Source organism: Homo sapiens, chromosome 11, assembly GCF_000001405.40.
Source record: "Homo sapiens chromosome 11, GRCh38.p14 Primary Assembly".
NCBI lineage: Eukaryota > Metazoa > Chordata > Mammalia > Primates > Hominidae > Homo > Homo sapiens.
The window spans coordinates 8,218,266-8,234,345 of NC_000011.10; the positions used below are offsets into that span (position 1 = coordinate 8,218,266).

General features: G+C 55.2%; 1 protein-coding gene and 1 long non-coding RNA gene across 10 annotated transcripts in view, besides 2 other annotated features; one reads left to right on the forward strand and one right to left on the reverse strand.

The window, feature by feature from the left end:
- Nucleotides 4,213-4,714: an enhancer, noted in NCBI's record as "H3K4me1 hESC enhancer chr11:8244025-8244526 (GRCh37/hg19 assembly coordinates)". NCBI's record gives its function as "activates a minimal SCP1, AML or CMV promoter by ChIP-STARR-seq in primed H9 embryonic stem cells {active_cell/tissue: H9 hESC(primed)}" and the evidence as "EXISTENCE:reporter gene assay evidence [ECO:0000049][PMID:30033119]".
- The window catches only part of LMO1 (LIM domain only 1), a 44,479-nt gene continuing 34,442 nt past the window's right edge, over nucleotides 6,044-16,080 (reverse strand). For 4 of the 7 annotated variants that reach the window (NM_001270428.2, NM_002315.3, XM_011520099.3 and 1 more), the window contains exons 2-4: nucleotides 12,026-12,239; nucleotides 8,710-8,835; nucleotides 6,044-6,456 (exon numbers count right to left, since the gene is read on the reverse strand). In NM_001270428.2, coding sequence (NP_001257357.1) covers nucleotides 6,351-6,456; nucleotides 8,710-8,835; nucleotides 12,026-12,239 — 446 coding nt within the window. In that variant the 3' untranslated portion in view covers nucleotides 6,044-6,350. The other 3 variants (XM_011520098.3, NR_073006.2, XM_011520100.2) reach the window with 3 other exon arrangements.
- Nucleotides 8,883-9,543: an enhancer, noted in NCBI's record as "NANOG-H3K27ac-H3K4me1 hESC enhancer chr11:8248695-8249355 (GRCh37/hg19 assembly coordinates)". NCBI's record gives its function as "activates a minimal SCP1, AML or CMV promoter by ChIP-STARR-seq in primed H9 embryonic stem cells {active_cell/tissue: H9 hESC(primed)}" and the evidence as "EXISTENCE:reporter gene assay evidence [ECO:0000049][PMID:30033119]".
- LOC105376536 (uncharacterized) lies at nucleotides 11,616-14,754 on the forward strand. 3 transcript variants are annotated; one of them, XR_007062582.1, is made up of 4 exons: nucleotides 11,616-11,705; nucleotides 12,739-12,819; nucleotides 13,714-13,841; nucleotides 14,672-14,754. It is a non-coding gene; the product is annotated as an uncharacterized LOC105376536 (long non-coding RNA). The 3 variants fall into 3 exon arrangements; XR_007062583.1 differs by having other exon boundaries at nucleotides 11,665-11,705; nucleotides 12,704-12,819; XR_007062584.1 differs by lacking the exon at nucleotides 13,714-13,841 and having other exon boundaries at nucleotides 14,672-14,747.

Sequence of the window (16,080 nt, forward strand, 5' to 3'; positions counted from 1 at the left end):
CATACGCTATACAGGGCAGTCACTCCAAGTGTCTGGAACAATCCCACTGGAATCCCCAGAAGCCATGGATCTAGTCAATGTGTCCCAAGTTGGTGGCATTATGGGGCAGGCAGACTGGTGGTGGAAGCCAAGAACCCAAACCCAGTTTCTTGGCATTTTAAGGAGTAATGTTTCTTATTAAGTGGCAAACAAAGGAAGAGAAGCACTGAGCAGGTGTCAGGGCTGAGTGGAGTTTCCTTTCCTCCACCCACTGTGTGCCCCAGGAGGATCCTTGGCTGGAACGCAAGTCACAGGATGTAGGACACAGAGCCCTGGGCCAGGCTGAGGGCCAGGAACCCAGACTCCCAACCCAGGCTGGTTCCAGTGTGCCCCTGGCCATCACTTCCTCTCCGGGCCCCAGTTTCCCCATAGTGAGCCCATCGGATAAGATGGTCTCTAAGGGTGGTGGGCAAGAAACTCTCATCCCTGCCCACTCTCTCTGAGTAGACTTCCCTCCAGCTTCTCCCTGCCACCCGGCACTGTCTTTAGCCTGTTATTGATCTTTTTATTTGTTTATTGTCTGTCTCCCTCACTAGACTGTAAACCACACAGAGAATGACCTTGTTCACTGGTGTTTCCATCCCGTAGCCTGCTTCCAGCACCGTGCCTGGCGTATAGCGTGGTCATGTCTGGGACGGACTGACAGAGTAAGGATGCACTGGGGCCTGCCCCACTGATAAACCTCCAGTTCAGGCATGGGACAGGCTGCCTGCACCGCCTCTGGTCAGCACCTGGAATTGCTCGTCCCACCCAGCAGCCAGCACAGGCCAGGCCCGGTGACATGGTCATGCAGGATGTGCAGTGAGGAACGTTAAGTGTCCGAGGACCCTTCCCCTCTGTGGATCAAGCCCTCGCTAGGGCATGAGTTGTAGAGAGAAAAAGGGGTGCAGACTGGGAGAGGATCTGGGGGTTTAGTGAGGATAAAATCTTGCCTTTGCCAAGAGAGTCTGGGCCCCTCAGAGGTTCCAGAGCCCGTTGGCTGCCTGTGGCACCTGGGCTGGGGTCTGCGCTTCCATGGTCCCCATGCCCTCTCCAGGACACCACATTCCAGAGAGGAGCTGGTTCAGGGGCTCCTGCCTGGGGCTCTCTTTGCAGACTCACCTCCTGGATCTGCTCTGGAAGCACTCCCAGATCCTTCCACTGCCCAGAGCAGCCTCTAGGTGGCAGTTTCACATGGGAGTTACCTGCATGGACTCCAGTCAGACCAGGCCGAATTCAAGTCCAGATGCTATTGAATATTACTTAACTAGAACGGTTCTTTGAGCCTCAGTTTCTTCAACTGTAAAATGGGGATGATTCAACTGTAAAATGGAGATAGAATTGCGTAGAGGCTTAAGCGGGTTGGGCATGTTTTTATGAAAGCTTGCCTTGTTTGTCTGGGCTGGATTTCCCCCGTTGGTGCCAGCACGCAGCGCCCCTCTCCTGAGAGCTCTCAGATGCCCAGGAACCGCCTGTGGTGGTGACGCAGGACTCTGCTGCGGTGAGCCAGGCCTCCTGCCCTGGAATTGAGCACAGGCCTCAAACCAGCAGACCTAGCGCAGGTTGTATGAAGTGAAGGTTCCCAGCAGCAGTTGCGTGTTCTGGTGTTCGCCAGGAGCTGCTGCAGCTGTGAGCACCTCCCATGTGATGGCTCATCGACTGCTGGGAGCAGCCTGAGGTGCAGGCACTATCATCAGTCCCCTCTACAGATGAGGAAAGTCCTCATCTCTAAGATGAAAACTAAGTAAGCTGCCCTGGGCTGTGTAGCTGCCAAGTGGAGAGCTAGGATCTGAACTCACATAATCTGGCTCCTGGGCCTGTACACGAAACCATCATGCCACGCTGCCCTTTCCACCACGCTGCCCTCACCTCACGCCTTCCCTAAGTTAGAAACTTCTTCTGGGATGCTTTTCCCATTCCCTCCCTCTCTCTCCTCTCCTGCCCTCTGCCTCATTTCTTTCCATCTCCACCTCTCTGTTTCCATCTTTCTCTCCCTCCACCGCACCACCTCCTATTCACTCTCATTTCTTCCTCTGTCCCTCTGTGTCTCAGTGCTCTGTCTCTGATCCCTGATCCCACCCAGTACCTGGCAGATGGGCCGGGGGCTCAGGGATCAGGGTGGCAGCTAGAGAAAGGGAGCCTGAGTAATCATGAGGAGCCCTCTGGCCCCTTGTCAGGAGAGCCCTTCAGTTCCCCCAGTGCAGCAGGCAGACCCGTTAGAACAACAAACGTGGCCCAGGAACCGCCTCAGTTCCCTAGCACCTTCCAGCTCTGGAAGACAAAACTGGACTTGCCAGAACTTCAGGAAACCCCAGAGCTCTCCCCCACCCCCACCCCAACGGGCTTCACTGTGCTTCCAGAGCAGATCCAGGAGGCAAGAGTCTGCAAAGAAAGCCCCAGGCAGGAGCTCCTGAACCAGCTCCTCTCTGGAATGTGGTGTCCTGGAGAGGGCATGGGGACCATGGAAGCGCAGACCCCAGCCCAGGTGCCACAGGCAGCCAGTGGGCTCTGGAACCTCTGACGGGCCCAGACTTTCTTGGCAAAGGCAATAAGCTCTGCAAAACCCAGTGCCGGGGGACAGTCCGAGGACCTGGCTGTTTGTCCTGGGCTCAGAGCACATGAGCTCAGACAGCTGGGGTCTAGGCAGCACCCACTGGAAGTCTTGAGTGTTGTGCAGCTTGGGCATCTGAAGAGAGGGAGAAACTGGTGTTTGGGGGAACCCTGGCACACAAGAGACTTTCCATCAACTCGCATGAAGGAGAAGGACGCTGCCCTAGAATAAAAACCCTGGCCATGAATGGTCTCTGACAGCTTTAAGGGAAAGAGCAATTGTCTCCTTGTAGAGATGAGATCTCCCAGGCAGGAATGTCATGTGGATTCTGCCTGTGGCCTCCACATGTCTCATGTTGTGGGGGAAGGTTTCTGGGAGCAGGCCCAGGAGGAGACAGGATTCATAGGAGATTTCATGATGGGCTCTGCAGCAGTGTTAAGATTGGAATCAAACTTCTTTCCAAACATGGGCTGTGCAGTCCAGCTTCAGGCCAAGGAGTGGGAGCATAAGCAGGTGCCATATTTCATGGGATCAGGCCCCCTGTTAGAGTATCTCTTCCCCAGGCCACCAAGGAAGGCAGGGAGAGGGGATGACGTCCCATGATCTGGTTGGAGGAAGGGGAGATTTGTGCACAGCTATGGTTCAATGCCGGCCCACATTCCCCACTGCCCACATGCCCCAGGCTGAGGTGCGAGCTGCGGCAGCATGTAACAGTTCATGCTCAGCTCTCCCTCCCCGCACCAGTCATCTGTGGTGGGTGCAGCCCCCAAGGAGAGCCAAGCCCAGACCATTCATGCCCTACACTTAACCAAGTTTCTCCTTTGCAGTGACCGGGGAGGAATTCAGGCTTCTCCCGTGTCACCCCTGGGTGTTCCTGGGTGTTGTGAATTCTCTCCAGGTGCATAATCACCAGACCTTGGTAGCCATTCCTGCCCCACCCTAGTTGCTCTGTTACAGAGTGAGCTTGGTCTCTCTCTGCTTCCCCCCTACCCTCTTATCAGTTTCACGCTTGCTAAGATGAGGCCCCTGTGGCCTCTTCTTGGGGGTATCTGTGGGCTGACACTGGACTTTCTGGGTGAGGGTCTCCTACTCAGTATCTCATGATGTCCGTGATGCTGACTGTAGCTCATGTAACCACAGCACTTCATAGTGCAGATCTGGGGCCCGTGGCTGACCTGGGAATCAGATCATCCCCATTTCCCAGATGAGGATGGTGAGAGAGCAATAACTGGGTCCATGATGCCAGACTTGGCAAATTCCGTGCCATGTTGAGCTGGGGAAGCCCGTTGACAAGGTCTGGGGTAGGCAAGGTGGGGCTGGGGTCGTCTTAGAAGGCCAGCTCTGTTCTTGGGGGCTTGCAAACCCCGCCTGCCTGAGTTTCACTCTATCTCATTGTGAGTGAATTCATTGTTGTGCAACCTAGAGTGGTGAGACAAGTTAATTACATAATTACTGCAAAATCACATGTTATTTCATGGCTGCAATATGGTAACTCTGTTGGAAACAATTGTAATTGCCCAGAAACTGCATTCGAGTGGCTCCGTTATCTCTTGATAACCATGTAATTAACTTGTATTATAACTTTATCTCCAGCAAACTCTGAAGTAAGAGTTGGGGCCCTTGGGTTGGGCACAGCCATCCTAGACCTAAGGGTCCAGGGAGAGTCTGGCACTGGGGACTCTGCTACAATGCAGGAAAATCATTTGCTTTTTCAGGTTGAGAAAGAAAATTCCTCATTATAAACTCCAGCCCTCTGTGTCTCTCCTCACGCAAACCCCTTCACAATCCCATGTGCTCACATACAGACAGCTCCCAGTTTCACCGTCCCCTTGGACCCATGGCTCACACAAACACCCACTGCAGCCAGCTCCACTGGCCTTTGCCTCTCTTCTCGCACATACAGGGTGCAGCTCCTTCACAGAAACTGGATGCCCCCAAAGTTGAGAACTTCTGCCCCAAGATCCTCGGCCCTAGCAATCCCTTTTCAGAAACTGGGCCAATGACCACAAAACCACAACTTGGAGAGGTAGCCTCCTGCAAGCCCCCAGGAGTGCCCAGCCATCCTTTCACTTTCAAGTAGAGGAGTAGGCCTGGGGAGGGTGAGGTGCGAATCCAGCCTAGCCCAGCCCAGCCCAGCCCATTCCCTGCCCAGGAGCAGGCAGGGCTTGAGGCAATAGTCTGACTCCCTCTGCCCTGGGCTGTGGGCTGTGGGCTGTGGGCTGTGGGCTGTGGGCTGTGGGCTGTGGCTAGGGTGAAAATAGCCCCTGGGAAGGAGGAGGGAGTGGCCTGATAGTGAAGGAGCCTGTCCATGCAACTTTTTCTGTCTAGGTTGGGGATTCAAGAAGCCTCTGTTTTTAATATTGCCCAGCGAGAAGGTATCTTTACAGTTCCAGGCTTTGTGCTTGGCACTGTGGCTGCAGCCAAGACCAAGACAGCATCCCTGCTGCCTTGAGTAAATCTAGCTCGGCGGGGGAGGTGGAAAACGCCCTGGTGTCTGCCTGTCTGCTGCAGTTCTGGCTGGAGCTGAGTGATGGGGCTTGACCACCTCCACCTCTCCTGCCTGTCTCTGCCTACACACTTGTCTACTTGTGTGTCCATCCTTCCTGCCTGCAGCACATGTCTGTCTGACCGTATGTCCATTGACTTGTCCATCTATGACTTTCTTAAGTCATCACAAATGGCCTTGTGTCCCCCAGAGGGAACTGGCCTGTCCCAGGTCTCCGCATAGCATTCCGTCCTCACAATGATGTGCTTTGTTTTCCTGGCTTTCCCCGCAACATGGCTTCTGCTTTCCATCCCCACAGCAAGCTCCCCAAGGGCAGGGACGGTGTCTGATCTATGATTCATCCTCACATCTGATTTGCTCCAGGACACCCCCGGTTGCAGCATGGGATTGAGACACAGAGTCTATTGAGGTTTGCTGACTGAATAAATGGATGCCTCCAGACTGCATGGGCTGAGTCGAAAGGAAACAGGATTTTTCTTGCTCACTCAGAAGAGCAGAAAGCTGGGCCCCAGCTGCTGGGCAGAGACAACAAGTGCTGTCTGTCACCCTAAAAGGGAAGAGAGGTTTCAGCATGGTGCTCCCATGGCAGAGGACACAAGATTTGTGGTCCTACTGGGGAAAAGGTCAGAGCTGGGTCCCCATCTGTGCAGTCAGTCTGGGGTCTCAACAGAGGGGATGGAACACAGGGTAGGGAAGGCTTCATCTTGCCCCTCTTCTTAGGGACCTACTCAGGGCCAGAGTGTGTGCTCTCCCAGAGGGAAGATACCCCAGGTCTCACCTCTGGCTGGGGCTGGAGGCTCTGAGTTGTCTCCTTCCTCCCAGCTTCTTCCCCTAAAGCCAGCCTTTTGCTCCCCTGCCCAGCAACAGCACATGCTGGAGGCCCCTACCCTGCTCTGTGCCCTGCCCTTGAGAGGCAGAGGGGAGGGGCCCCAGGTCTGTGTCAGTCATGTGAACAACGCAGAGTAACCTCCCGGAAACATTCATAAGTTTAATCCACGCCAGTAATAAAATCGCATTACATTTCTCATAAAATAAATGTTCCCATTTATATACAGAAGACAGACTGTACAGGCCCGGCCTGGCCCCAGGAGGGGTCACACACAGACGGGCGGTGGTGGAGGAGGAAGGGCCATCCCTCCCATCGAGGACGGAGAAGTTCTAATGTGGCAGGAGAGCGGCTGGCCAGCCTGCACTGGTAGAGTGGCTGGCTGGCCGGCCAGGCAGGTGGGCAGGCGGGCAGATGGACAGACGGGCCTGGAGGCCAGGCGCCGGGCGTTACTGAACTTGGGATTCAAAGGTGCCATTGAGCTGCCCTTCCTCATAGTCCATCTGACACAAGATCATGTTGTTCTTCAGGAAGAATTTGTCTCCCACACAAAATCTAGAAAATCCAAGCGAGAGAGAGAAGCCATGGGAAGGTCCCAGTGGGTAAGGGGGGGGCTGCAGACAGAAGCCGGCCTGGCCTATGAGGTGAGCTATGTGGGAGGTGGTGGGGGGAGTTTGTTCCTTGAACCTTCCAGAGGGAACTGCCAAAAGTCCCCACAGCACACCTGGGCAATTCCCCCAGGCCAGCCCCAACCTTGGCCAGGCCCTGTAGCCTGAGGTGGTAGGACAGACAGACAGTTGGGCCACAGGCTTCCATAGTCAGGTCTCCTGTGTTGGTGAGTGTAGGGTTAGGGGGGTTGGTGGAGAGGTGCAGGAACAGCCTACCCCAGTCCCAGAGAGGGAGAAAGGGAAAGCACAAACAGAAAAAGACCAAGTGGGGAGACAGATGGAGAAAGGCAGAGATGGGGCCGGGTGTGGTGGCTCACACCTGTAATCCCAACACTTTGGGAGGCTGAGGTGGGTGGATCACGAAGTCAGGAGTTTAAGACCAGCCTGGCCAAGGTGGTGAAACCCCATCTCTACTAAAAATACAAAAAAATTTAGCTGGTGGGCATCTGTAATCCCATCTACTCGGGAGGCTGAGGCAGAGGATTGCTTGAACCCAGGAGGCGGAAGTTGCAGTGAGCCGAGATCACGCCACCACACTCCAACCTGGGCGACAGAGTAAGACTCCATCTCAAAAAAAAAAAAAAAAAAAAAAAAAAAAGGCAGAGATGGGTAAGGAAGGAGGGATAAAATGGTTGTTTTTTCCATCCGTCTATCCCTCTCCCCAATTTAAGAGGATGGCTCAGTACAGGGCATTCTTCCTCTAAACAAAATTGATAAGTTACCTAGAGCATCCTTCTAGGAGGTAACCCCGTTCCACTATCTCCTCTCCTACCGAAGGAAGGCCCTTCATTGGTCTCCTAGTCCTCCCCAAGTAAGGGAAGATTCCGGTCCTTTCCCTAAAGATGTCCCCAGGGTGGGTGAAGCCTTTAGTGAGACCCCAAGATCGCTGGCCTAGTTCCAGCAGATCCCAGTTCAACCACCAGGTGGCGCTGTAAGTTCACTGAGCCCTCCTAACAGCAGGTCCGGCCAGAGCCCCCAGCCAGACCAGCGTTCCCTGTAGGTCCCTCTGAACCTCACTTCAGGGAGCACTTGTATGCGTTCCTACCTGACCTGGGGGCTCCTGAGAAGAGCGCCTGCCTTCTGGTGCTAGGCCCCAGCCAGGGCTGAAGGGCTCTGGCTCCTTAGGTCCCCAGGGACTCCCACAGGGCTAGGGCACAGAGTTGGGGCCAAGAGACCAGAAAATAGGCTGGGCTGGAACCAGAATCACAAGGGCTGGGTGAGGAGAGAGTGGCCACTCCCTGAGGGGACTTTGCCCTCCAGATTTGGGAACCCCTTCTCACTGGAACATACATGCACACACATGCACATACTATACACTGGGTACGGGGGTGGGAGGATACGTTATCCCATGCACATGCACGTTTCAAACACGTATACAGGCTGGGCGCGGTGGCTCACACCTGTAATCCCAGCAATCTGGGAGGCTGAGGTGGGCAGATAACCTGAGATCAGGAGTTCAAGACCAGCCTGGCCAACATGGTGAAACCCCGTCTCTACTAAAAATATAAAAATAAAAATAAAAATAAAAATTAGCCAGGCGTGGTGGCACACGCCTGTAGTCCCAGCTACTTGGGAGGTTGAGGCAGGAGAATCACTTGAACCCGGGAGGCAGAGGTTGCCGTGAGCCAAGATTGTGAGATCACACCACTGCACCCCAGCCTGGGCAACAGAGTGAGACTATCTCAAAAAATAAAATATGTATACACACATGCATACTCACCTCATCATGCATGCACGTTGCACATACACATACACCCCCAGACATTTAAAAACACATGTACAAATGCATATTAATTCCATCATGCACATGTGCCCACTTGTACATTTCCAAATACACATGCATGCACATGCACACTCAACTATGCATACACAGTAAACTCATGCACGCCTTCATTATATTCACACAGAAATGTGCCACACAGATGTGCACACCCAATATTAAAGTGCACACATTTGGCTACCGAGCTTACACACACATAAAACACATAAAGCACATGCACGCTCATAACCTGCACGCACCACCACATACACACACGCAACCCGCATTTGCGTGCACGCCTCCGCCGTGCTCCTGGCCCATCCCAGCAGGCCTCAGGCTGGCGTCTGGGGAGTGTGTTGGGTCGGCCAGTCCAGCACTGACCTCTGGTTGCAGAGCTGGCAGGCGAAGCAGTCGAGGTGATACACGTTGTCCCGGGCCCGCATCACCATCTCGAAGGCTGGGATCAGCTTGCTGCAAGCAGCACAGTTCCCTGTGGTGCCAAAGAGCCTGCCGAGGGAAGGGCGCAGAGGACTCAGCAGCATTCTGGGAAGCTGGGTGGGCAGGGGGAAAGGAGTTGCCTCCATCCAGGGTCCTTCCCATACTCCAACTTGTGGGCTCAGCAGGTGGGCTCAGGCAATAGGATAAGAGCACTGAGGGCAGCATCTAGATTCTGCCCAGAGATCAGGCTGCCAATAAATCAGCACATCCCCTTCCAGGGAGGGTGTGTAGGGGGTCAGGAGTTGGCTGCCACTGCCCATCCCAAGGCCCCCTCCCAGGCTCCCACAAGGGTCCTCAAGCCCTGGAGCCACCAAGAGAATCCTAGGCTGGGCCCTGAGCAAGCCTGAATTTCAGGGGCAGACTGAATCTTGGGTTGTGTGCCCTCAGGCAAGTCAGTGAGTCTCTCTGAGCCTCATTTACCTCATCTGTAAAACAAAGCCTGAAACACACCCTTTATGGGGTAGTTGTGAAACCTGTTGTAAATTCTCAGTCACAACTCACTAAGCAACCACCTAGGTAGTGTTCACTATGTGTCAGCCACTAATCTAAGAGCTTTACAAAGATAAACGCTTAATCCTCACAACAAACCTAGGAGGTGGTACTATTATTATTCCCCATTTTAAAGATTTAAAATATGAGTCACAGAGAAACAACTTGGACAGTCACAGGGCCTTGGTCCAGAAGGCGTGCTCTAAACCACTGCATGACATGCTTTTCCCACCTTTAACATTACAGTGTTTATTATTTGATTTTTAAAAATAGAGATGGGGTCTCACTATATTGGCCAGGCTGCTCTCGAACTCCTGGCCTCAACTGATCCTCCTGCCTTGGCCTCCCAAAGTGCTGGGACTACAGGTGTGAGCCACTGTGCCTTGCCAAAATTAAAGTGTTTTATTAAATCTTTTTTCCATGACAAACTCACTGTGTTACTTGCCTAAGTCCCTTTTTTTCTTTCTCTGAACCTCAGTTTATCCTTCTGTAAAATAGGGATGGATGATCCTATTCAAAGATGCTGTAAAACAGAACTGATGCCCAAAGGAAGCGCCAAGGACATCTGGCACAAATGCCTCTTTGAGGCAGGCACCCCTCCTCTTAGCTGCTGGCTGTAAAGCTCTAGGGACAGGGAGTTTACTCCCTCCCCATGCAGGCCAGCCCTTGGCTGGATGTCCCAATGGTCTGAGCCATCCCGGCTCCTCCTTGCTTCTTTCCTGCACACAGACAGAGCAAGCCCCAAGTGAGGCAAGGAGGCTGAGAAGAGGGTGGGGGGCCCCTTTAATCCCCGATTTGTCCAGCTCAAACTCAGGCGCCTGCAGATGAGCTTGGCTCCATTATTCATCAGCTTGAGCTGCCTGGTGGCTCAGATTAAGGCAGACAAAGGCTAGGCCACAGCATCTGCCTGCCAAGAGGGGCTTTTCTTGCCATCGGCCCAGGAACAGTTGCTGCAGAGGGCGCAGGCTCTGGACAGCCATTCTCCAGGCCTGAGCAGCTCAAGGAAGCCACGCTCGCATCCCAGCCCACTGGTCTAGCTGGTCCTACAGTCACTCCTTGCCTCTGCCAGAGCAAAAAAAAAAAAAAAAATTACCTTCCATCCCTAGTAGCTGGCAGGGCCCTATATGCTTGAGGGTGCTTTTTCCTGATAAGCCCATCCTACACTGTGGGCCTCTCTCTCCAAGTCCTGTGAACCCATCAGATGGTCTGCCACATCGTCCTAACCTGGTAGAGTCAGCCCCCAGGTGATGCCCTAAACCTCCAGACATGGAGGCCCCTTCTAGGTCCTCAAGGGGTGAATCCCCAGGAACATTCTTTTCTTTTTTGAGACAGGGTCTTGCTCTGGCACCCAAGCTGGAGTACAGTGGCGCAATCACAGCTCACTGCAGCCTCAAACATCTGGGCTCAAGCAATCCTTCCACTTCAGCCTCCTGAGTAGTTGGGACTACAGGCATGCAGCCACTACACCTGGCTAATTTTTTTTTTTTTTAGAAACGGGGTTTCACCATGTTGCCCAGGGTTGGTCTCGAACTCCTGAGCTGGAGTGACGTGCCTGCCTCGGCCTCCCAAAGTGCTGGAGTTACAGGCATAAGCCACCGCGCCTAGCCTGAACATTCTTCCTTAACCCCTGCTTCTGGTCTCAGCCTCTCCCCTCCAGCCCTGGCAAGGAGCACTAAGTCACAGCTTCTGTTTTACTGCATCACTTTTAAATGCAGGTGTTAAAAGGGGCAGGCAGGTCAGTCAAAGGATCTTTGGGGAATTGAGGGAGCTTCCACTGATAACCTCCCCCTTGCAACATGCCCAGACCTGGGCAGAGGGAGCCCCATGAAGCCCTTGCCCCGACCTGTTAATTAATGCGATGAGCCCTCCTTCCCCACAAGCCCGGCAACCATCCAGCAGCCTGCGACAGAGCCAAATGCAGGTGCTGGGTCTCAGCCAAGGCCCTGCTTTGTGGCCTCCTTCCAGCCTTGCTGATGTCATAAATGGCCTCAGGGAGGGTTAATTGGGGGAGGTGGCCCCAGGGAATAGGATCCAAATTGTAGGGAGGGTGAGTTAGAGCTCAGAGGAATGCAAGGCAGGGAAGCATCATTCTTTCACCCTTCACGGGGAAGTAAACTGAGGCTGGGAGAAGATTAGGAGCCAAAGGCTCACAGCTAGTTCCAACCCAGGTCTTGAAGCTCCAGCATCAGTGGCCCTGCTCCTAGGATATGGCTGCCTGCCAGTTTCCCTGGGCAAATGGATGCCTGCTCCCAAGGACCATCTAGAAAGGAAAGTTGGACACTGGGAGATGGAAAGAGACTGCATTAGGGAGGAGGGTCCTGGGGAAGTCAAAGCTTCCACACCTGTTCTCAAAGCCCCTCTGAGGTATCCCCTCCCAGATTCCAGATCAGGTGGGTCAGAAGCACCTGGCCAAGGCAGGGGGGCGGAGCCAGACTGGGGCCCTCGGAAAGCTTAACTTAGGGGCCCCAGGTTACAAATGCCTGCCCTGGACTTGTGCTGGGTACCGAGTCCAAGGGCATAACGACCTGGGCCTTCCCCTCAGGTGACTTCTCAGGTATCTGGGGCAAGCAGGGCAGGGGCAGGACAGTCAAGAATGAGAGGACACACAGGGTACTGGGTCTAGGGCCGGGGGCACAGTCACGCTGGGGCTGAGGATGGGGAGCTTTCTGAGCAGGACAAGGGCTTGGGAGGCCAGGGTTTGGCAGCCCACCTCAGGTAGTCGCGTCGGCACAGGATGAGGTTGGCCTTGGTGTAGAGGGTGGAGCCCACCTCGCCCAGGCGGCAGTCACAGCAGGCACACTTGAGGCAGTCTTCGTGCCAGTACTTGTCCAATGCCTTCAGCAGATAGCGGTCCTTGATCTTGCGGTTACAGCCCGCACAGCCCTTCTGCTTCCCTTTGGGCTGGACGGAGAGCATCGGCACGCCTGCAGACGGACAGACAGACAGCAACGCAGGATGGGCCCCGTAGCTCTGGGCCTCAAGGAATATCCCCCAAGAATGGGGAGCTCACTGCTTCTCTCTGCTGCCCCCTCTAGGTTTGGGGCTCCCAGGAGCCCTCGCTTTCTCCCCAATAACCTCCTCCCCTGGCTCCGGGTCCTGCCCTTTGGGCTACATGGCACAGCCTGTTTCCCTGGCCCTGTGAAGGTCCCTCCAGAGGCTGCTCTGCTCCAAGGCACACACAGACCCCAGGCCTGGCCTCCCTGAGTTGTTCCTCCCTACCATGGCCTCTATCCCCTGTGCGGTCTCATCCGGAGTAAGCCTGAAGCTCGTCTTGTGAAGCCACCATCACATTGGCTCTTTCAGCAATAAGCCTAAGAAATGTAGTCTCCTCAGGCCCACGAGGTCCTCTAGAACCCCCAGATCTTTGTGCCAACTCGTCTTTCTCCAGCTGAAGTGCTACAGCCTCTTGGTCTATCCATGTAGAGCTGTGATGGCATCAAGAAGGAAGTGAGACGCCCCTGGGACACTCCCAGGAGGGAGCAGAGGCTCTGGGGCTCCTGGCAGGTAAGCGGAGGCAGCTGGCAGGGCCTGGCTGGGGCTCCCCTTGGGAATGCTTCAGGCGGTGTCACACCTCACCTGCCCTGGCCTGGGGGAGGGCAGGCTCTGAGCCTCTGGATCCTTCCTCATTCTACCAGGATTAGGATCTCTCAGCCATCAGTCCCTCCCAGGGCCCATACCAGCTTCCCAACATACACACAGGCACCAAGTACAAAGGGCCCAATGTGATGTTCACCACAGGGCAGAGCCTCCCGTCGCGGCAGGCGAGCATGTGCGCTCACACACACCCCTCACACACAGGCACGACGTGCAGGTGTGGGCATGAAGTGACAGAGGCACGGGTTCCTAGTCCCTTCTCCTGGAACCACAGGGACCGTTGAGGAGGAGATGGGGACATATGTCGTCCAGTAGCCTGGACATCCATGTGGACCCGTGAGGCTGGGAGGGAAGTGCAGAGGACCTCAGAAGCCCTGCTCTGTGACTTGACAGGGCGGGAGCCTGTGGCAGTTGCCTGAGAACCCTTGTGAAGACAGGGAGCGTGTGCATGCTCCGTTCCTGACCAAGGCGCAGCTGGATAGGGGCCCACCCCTCCCCACCTCCCCGGCTTTCCAACACTCCCCTGGAGTCTGTCCTTCTACTGGCCCCGTCCTCTCCAAAGGACCCCTGCTCTCTCCAGGGCTCTGGCCTTCCTCCCATCCCCTGGTGTCCCTCCCATTCCCAGCCCTCCTCACTGCCCCCAGCCCAGAGTCTGAATGGTTGGGCTGCTTCCCTTCCTTTTGCTTCTCTCCTCCTTGGGCGTTAGGGGAGAACAAGCCACAAGAGGCCTTGGTCTCAGAATCCACAGATGTAAGGTCAGAAGAGCCCTCAGAGTTCTCCCAGTTAAATGTTCTCATACTACAGATGGGGAAATTGAGGCTCAGACAGTTACAGGGGCTTGAGTCAGCCACCGTCAAGCTGGCCCCAGGGCTCCTTCTCCTCTCCTGTGCTCGCTCTCAGCCCAGCTGGCTCCTCAGACTTCTCCTGGACAGGTGAGTCTGGGGAGCTGGCGCCCACCCACAGGCTACAGTGTGCAGGGCCAGTGGCTCCCTCCTCCTTCTCCTCCCTGCAGTCCCGGCAGGGCCTGTCTGTTAGCTGGTGAGTGTGCTGCCTAATTTCCTTAATGCAGCTCTAAAGGTTAATTGGTCTGAGAGAGGGATGGGGCACAGGATGACTCTGTCCTCGGGCCTGCCTGTGTCTCTTCTAGCAGGGCCCAGCCTGGCACAGAGCTCTGAAAGAGCCCAAGGAGGGCAGCTGGGGAGCAGATACCCCTGAGAACTGAAGGGGTCTTGTGAGGCTCCTTCCAAGTCCTGGCCTACAGGGAGGTGTGGGGAAATGGGAGAGGAGTTAAAATAGCTGGATGGGGAAATGAGGGGCCTCCCAGAGTGGGACCTGGACCAGGGTAGGGCTCCAAGGGCATGACCTTGTCCTTAGGCCCTGTGCAGGGAGCATGCAGCCAGCAGAGGTACGCACTCAAACACCGACTGGGAAAATCTTGGGCCAGGCCCCCGCTACAGCCCCTACAAGGCTCACGTTCCTTTTGCTCAGCCAGGCTTGCAGCAGGCCTGGCTCCCTTCCCAGTGGTCCTGAGCCCCTCCCAGGGCTCTATATTTGGGCTATTACCAGAACATGGGTGAATGGCTGGAACCTCCGTACTCAGGGGAGACCCTAGCCCACTAAATTATAGCCCAAAATGAAGGGAGACAGTGAGAGGCCCCAGCACGTGAAGCAGCTGTCCCACTCTCTCTTCCATCTACCCTGGCTCTTGGACAGGCTGGTCTTCCGAGCTCAGACCCCAGCATGTTTGTCCTGGCTCCCGCAGGGTTGTAAACTCCAGCACTGGTCGACAATCTCTTCACTGGAGGCATCTGGCACCTAGAGGACCCTGTGGAAGCCATGAGGGGTGAAGCTGCCAGCCGCCGCAGGTCCCCCTCCCCACTGCCCGTGCCCAGGCTGGCCTCTGCACAGGCAGGTTACCTTAAGACCTGGACACCCCTCCCTCTTCTGGGGTGCTGAACTGATTCCTGGCTCTGGAGAACTCTTATAGAAGCCACACAGCTTCTGCCAAAGTGTCCCATGTCCACCAAGACATGGAACACCAGGGTCAGCCTGGCTGAGAAGGCCCCAGAGCATCTAGAGACCCTTGGGTCTAGAGACCTCCCACGAGAAAGGCTGGCATCCTGGGGGAAGCCTGAGCCAGGGCAGCCCCATGGGAGGGGCCTGGGACCAGACTCCAGGTCTGCAGTCCTGTGGCTATGGGGTCCAGAGCATATCCCCCTGGTCTCTCTGGGCCTAACTTCCTTCATCTGCCCATAAGAAAAACGGAAGCAATCCCTTGCTTCTCACAGGAGAGTGGAAGAGCTCTGGGGGTCAAACAAACAAAACAGTGGAGCCAGCCTTCCTTCCTCATAGGGCATCCATGCTGTGTCTGCTCTCACCGGGCTGGTCCAGGAGACTTGAAAACACTCCTGGAAAGGTGGAGGGGCTTTCAGGAGGGGCTCTGTAGTCTCCTGCTCCCCAGATGGAGGGATAAGCTCCCCACAGGGTCCAGGCCCTCCCTCCTGCTCTGCCTTCCCCATTCCCACCTAGCCCCCCACCCAATCTGCCAGCCTGCCCCCCTGCAGACACCTCTTCCCTCCCTCCTTCCCCAGCCTGGCTCTGGGACCTGAGCCTCGGGCCATGCACTTTCCATTAAGGAGATAGCATCCCTTTGCTGAAGTCCATTTGGGATCCATTTTAGTGTTATCTAAAAATCAAATCTACATGGTAATCCTTTTAATGTACTCCTGACTTTAGAAAAAAATGGCTTTGCGCTCCTTCAGGAAAGGTTTTAAAGCATTACCCAGTAATTACTACTCACCCATGAAAACACTGATATTTCACAATGGATGATGTTTGCGCCGACACGCACGCCTGGGCACACACTCAGATGCATGCGCTGGGCCCAGCAGAATAAACCAGTCCACTCAACCCAGGGTCACCCCTAAGTCTCAGGATGTGGGGGGAACAACATTGGAGGGGAAACAGGCTGAACTCCAACCCCTACCTCTAGCAGGGGGTGGAGGCAGGGCTGCTGGTGGAAGGAGGCAGCCAGGCTGGGAGAGAAGCCTCCCAGTCTGACTCATCTGGCTGCCAGACACTCACCCTCCACTCTTTAATCTGGGGGAAAGCCAGACAGTCCAGGTGACGGGGACGCACTGCCAGAGGTCATCCCGCCCCTCCCACTCTCTC